Genomic DNA, 5,199 nt, shown 5'->3' with positions numbered 1-5,199 from the left:
AACAATGTTTAGGGATTATTTCTAACTTTTTTTTTAAATCTAGAGCGACAAATAGGCCATATCCTATATGAATATGAAGTAGAGAATCTGCAGCTCTATAGAGCATTCTCTACTTCATATTCATATAGGATAGACTCATATTAGGTAAGTGATCTGACTGCCACTAATACTTATCGAGACTTCCTAATTGTGCAGACATAGGAAGCAACAGCCAAGGGACAGCAAAGGACATTCTTAACAGAAACTCCGTGGCATTTTGAGTAATATATGAATCACTTGAGAAGTATTCATTCTCTGTCCAAATACTGGCCTTTTTTTTTTAACCAGTTACTATTAACCTTAAGTATGGGAAATTAAGAGCCAGTCATAACATTTTATAGCAACATTTTAGCCTGATCTCAAGCTCAAAGGTTTGCAGGTACCAGGTGTGTAAACTGATACAACACTTCTGGAAAAGCAATTTAGCAATATAAATGAGGAGTATTTAAAACATGTGTACGGTATAACAACTAATTTCCTTTGTAAAAATTCAATCCTAAAGTAATGCTGACAAAGGTTTCACATGAGGATATTCATGCAGCATTATTTATCATTGGGAAAAACTGCAGACAACCTCACTTTCCAATTCTGGGAAATGATTAAGCAAATGAAATTACATGTACATATGAAACTATTATGCAACCATTAAACCAGATGATTACAAATGCAGCATTATCTATCAAAATGTTAAATGGACGTCCTTCAAACCAATATTTTCATTCCTAGGTCTCTCCTACACAAAAGGTTTACAAGCGTGCAAAAAAAATGTTTTCACGTTCAAAGATGTTTGTTGCAGCATATTTATAATATCAAATATTGGAAAACATGATAAGGAATTATGTAAATAAAGGTAAATCTAGAAATGTTAAAGTGAACATTCAATATTCACTAAAGTTAAGGAGGAAAAAGTTTTAAAAAAATAAACTAAAAATCCTATTTTAAAAAAATGTTAATTATACATCTAGTTATAGACAATAACTTAGATTTGCTTGAGGAAGTAGATTTCTTTTTAAAATTTTATGCAGCTGTGTATTTTCAAGCTTTATCATGAGCATGTGTTGTTTTAATTGAAATTAAAATTTTTCATTTAAAAACCTACTAATAATAGAGTGACAAAGAGAAAAGGTTACAAGTAACTTTTAATTATATAAAGAAAAATGCTTATAACAGAATCTTAAATTGAAAAACTGGGCAACATAATGTCATACATACAGTATTATGCAAACCATAAAAACTATTATAAAAAACTGGAGAGAGAGAACTATATTAGAATACTAATAGTATCTCCCTGTTGGTAGTAGAACTATTTGTGGGAGGGTTGATGGAGGCATAGTCTGCTTCCTCATATTTGTATGTACTTTTTGTATTTCTACAAAACAAATATTACTTGTATAATCTGGGAGTGGGAGAAAGCTAAAAAAGAGAATCAAGTATTTTAACAACATCAAAGTACCATAAATCAGAAAGGGTTGAGACCAAAACACTATTTTTCCTATAGATGCTTCTTATTAAAAGACTTTCCTTCCACAACATTCTGTATTTTTTAATCCTATGTTTTTGTGAATAAGACCACCCTACTCATTGCAACCAGCAGATGCAACTAGAATGATGTGCAAGTAACTTTTCTGCAGCCTTTTGTGGTGATTAAAAACACAGCCACAAATTCTTTGATACTTCTCTCACTAACTATATTTCCATCCCTTGAGTTAGGTCAGGCTCAAAACTACTTCAACGAGTAGAGTTTGGTGCAAGTGATACAATGTGACTTCAGAGGCTAGGTCATAAGAGTCTCCTCCTTGTTCTCTGGAGCACAGACGTACTCTTGGCACCTGGAATTGCCAAGTAAGAAGTCTGGCTACCCTGAGGTATCCTAAGGCTGCCACGTTTTGAGGGAGTCCAAGCCACATGGAGAGGATACAGGTAGACAGACACCAATCAGTAGTCCCAGCTGAGCCAAGCCTTCAATCCATTTATCCATTACCAGACATGCGAGTGAGGAAGCCTCCAAATGATTCCAATCCCTAGTCATTTGAATCTTTCCAAGTAAAATTCATACAATGTAGAAATTCCAGATATTATGTGGCAGAAACAAGATCATCCATTCTTTGCTCTGTCCAAATTCCTGACCCACAGAATTCATGAGCAAATAAAATGGTGGTTGTTTTATGCCTCTAATTTGGGGGTGACAATTATGCAGCAATAGATATGTAAAATATCTCTTCTCACAACATATAAATATATCAAAAATCTTTTAATAAATGTCCATAATATTTTCCTTAATATAGAAAGAATTTTTTTCTAGACTTTTGCTCTTGCTTCTAATGCTATATACCTTAATCCCTTTGAAATTATAGTCTGAGGGTCAGGCATGGTGGCTCACACCTGTAATCCCAGCACTTTGGGAGGCCAAGGTGGATGGATGGATTGAGCCCATGAGTTCAAGACCAGCCTGGGCAACTTGGTAAAATGCCATCTCTACAGAAAAAAATGGAAAAATTAGCCGAGCATGGGGAGGCTAAGGTAGGAGGATGGTTTGAGCCTGTGGGGCAGAGGCTGCGATGAGCCAAGATTGGGCCACTGTACTCCAGCCTGAGCAATAGAGCCAGACCATGTCTAAAAAAGAAAAAAATATATACAGTTCTTTATTCATTGCCTGAATGACTGGATTATTTTAATGTTTGTTTCTAAAGTTAGGCATTTGGGATGTAATTTCCACTTAATAATAACAGTTAGCATGTATAGGAGATTTTCAAGAGTTTATCATATACTATTGATTTTAAACCTCCAAGCTGCATGGAGGTTATAATCCAATAGGATTAAATTTAATATTTTAATCCATTAGGTACTGTTAGTATCTTCTCATTTTAAAATGAGGAAGTTGAACACAAATAAGCTAAGTAACTTACCTAAGGTCACACACTGATAAATAGCAAAGCCAGAATTCAACCCAGACAGCTGGTAACAAGAACCCTTGCTCTAAACTAGAGAGCTAGACTCTCTCTTCCTCTGTTTCTGCTCAACATACAGAAAGGCTAACATGCCAGGAAAATACATCTCAGAGCCAGTTATGAACACAAGACAGTAATCTCATAGTTCTGCTTCCTGAAAGTTAGATTGTATTTCTATTTTACTGTTATTTCTTGCAGAAAAGATGAAAAAGAAAACCCCAGAGGTCTGAAGTTACATAAATTAGAGGAGAACAAAGAGAATGTAAAAAGCAAAAAATAAAAATGGATCCCTGAGCATTGGACCCAAGTGAGTGGCCAAGAATTTCTAGAAGGAAGGCATCTAATAGTAAATCAGTTCTGAAGCATTTATTAAGGAAAGATGGATGGAAGGGAGAGAGAAATGGAGGGGGAGAAGGAAAGATGGAAGGAAGGAGGGAAGGAAGGAAGGAAGGAAAGAGAGAAGGAGAGAAAGAGAGAAAGGAAGGGAAAGGAAAGAAAGGAAAGGAAAGGAAAGGAAAGGAAAGGAAAGGAAAGGAAAGGAAAGGAAAGGAAAGGAAGGGAAAGGAAAGGAACGGAAGGGAAAGGAACGGAAGGGAAAGGAAAGGAAAGGAAGGGAAAGGAAGGGAAAGGAAAGGAAAGGAAAGGAAAGGAAAGGAAAGGAAAGGAAAGGAAAGGAAAGGAAGGGAAAGGAAAGGAACAGAAGGGAAAGGAAAGGAAGGGAAAGGAAAGGAAAGGAAAGGAAAGGAAAGGAAAGGAAAGGAAAGGAAAGGAAAGGAAAGGAAAGGAAGAGAAAGGAAGAGAAAGGAAGGGAAAGGAAGGGAAAGGAAGGGAAAGGAAGGGAAAGGAGGGAGGGAAGGAGGAAGGAAGGAAGGAAAGAAGGAAAGAAGGAAGGAAGGAAGGAAAGAAGTTTAGTAATAATGGAATGGTTGAAGAGATGCAAGGCCAGTGTATATGAGAGAGGAAGGGAATATGAAAAAATAAATAGCTGAAAGGAGGAAAACTACTTGCAAACCTGGTTTGAGGGCTTAAAAATGACCTCAACAAGGGGTACAAATAAGAGATACCACTGAATAAATTCAGATCATGAACAAATTTCCATTCAGTTTCAGGGGTGAGAAATGCTCTGCAGTGATGGACAAAAAAAAAGGAAATATATTTTCATCTGTAAATTTTACAGGACTAGGTAGAGAGGCTGGTTATTTAATAATCTGTGACCCAATTCTATCTAAATCTGTTTCAGATTCTCCGTGCAGTAAAGGAACTACCATGGCAAATAAGATGCAAGAGGATAGAATGTGCTAACATTTAAGAAAATACAACTTCAACCATGAATAATATTGACTTTTTTAGAAAGGAGGAAGTTAATCTTTTAGAGAAACATGAAAAGTAAATCAAACAAATTTGAGAAAATGAATAAGGGGCCAAATGTAAAATTTTACAGAAAAAAATGCAATAACTATCACAAATAAAGTCCCTTTTAAAAAATGTGTTGCCATGAATAAGAAAATACCACTTTAAAACATTTTTTAGTAATAAAAAAGGAAATAGACTTCTGGGATCTCCTTTTTTAGGGGAGAAATGTTATTAATTTAAATGAAGGACTCTGTAATCCAAGCAGAAATAACCGCAAATACTCAACTGTTTAGTAAATATGTATTGAGTACTCACTGTGAAGCAGGCATACTACCAGGCAATGGGGATCTAATAAATAGTTGACTTAAATCCTCCTCAAACATTTCTCAAAGACTATAATGAGAAAGAAAAATCTCTAATGCATCAATCCTTGGTCTAAAGCATGGGTCAGTTTTTCCACTGCCTCTTCTTGTATCTAATACTGAGTGTTTCTCTGTCATAAAAGAAATATTCGTTCATGACCTATTCTTATTATCATTTTCTCCATGTGAATTCCCAAAGGTTATGGAGAGTGTCAATCAAATACCATAAAAGGAAACTAGTCTTGGAGAGAAAGGCTTGTGAACAGAACCCCAAAATGAGAACATAGGTCAGCTGCTCCTTATAGGACTGTGCTGGAAACTAGTTGCATGGCTCTGTAGTCTTTTTGATCCTCAATTAAACAAATAACATTGAAAAAGCTTTAGCTTCATTTCACGGGTAAAGAAAAAGTCCCAGAAGTGTTTCGTTATGGAACTGGGGCCAATAACCCAGGCCTGTGCTCTTTCCACTTGCTATATCATGCTGCCTGTATTTTTCT

Source organism: Homo sapiens, chromosome 4 (genome assembly GCF_000001405.40).
Source record: "Homo sapiens chromosome 4, GRCh38.p14 Primary Assembly".
In the NCBI taxonomy this organism is placed as follows: Eukaryota; Metazoa; Chordata; class Mammalia; order Primates; family Hominidae; genus Homo; species Homo sapiens.
Note: the sequence above shows the minus strand (reverse complement) of the source record.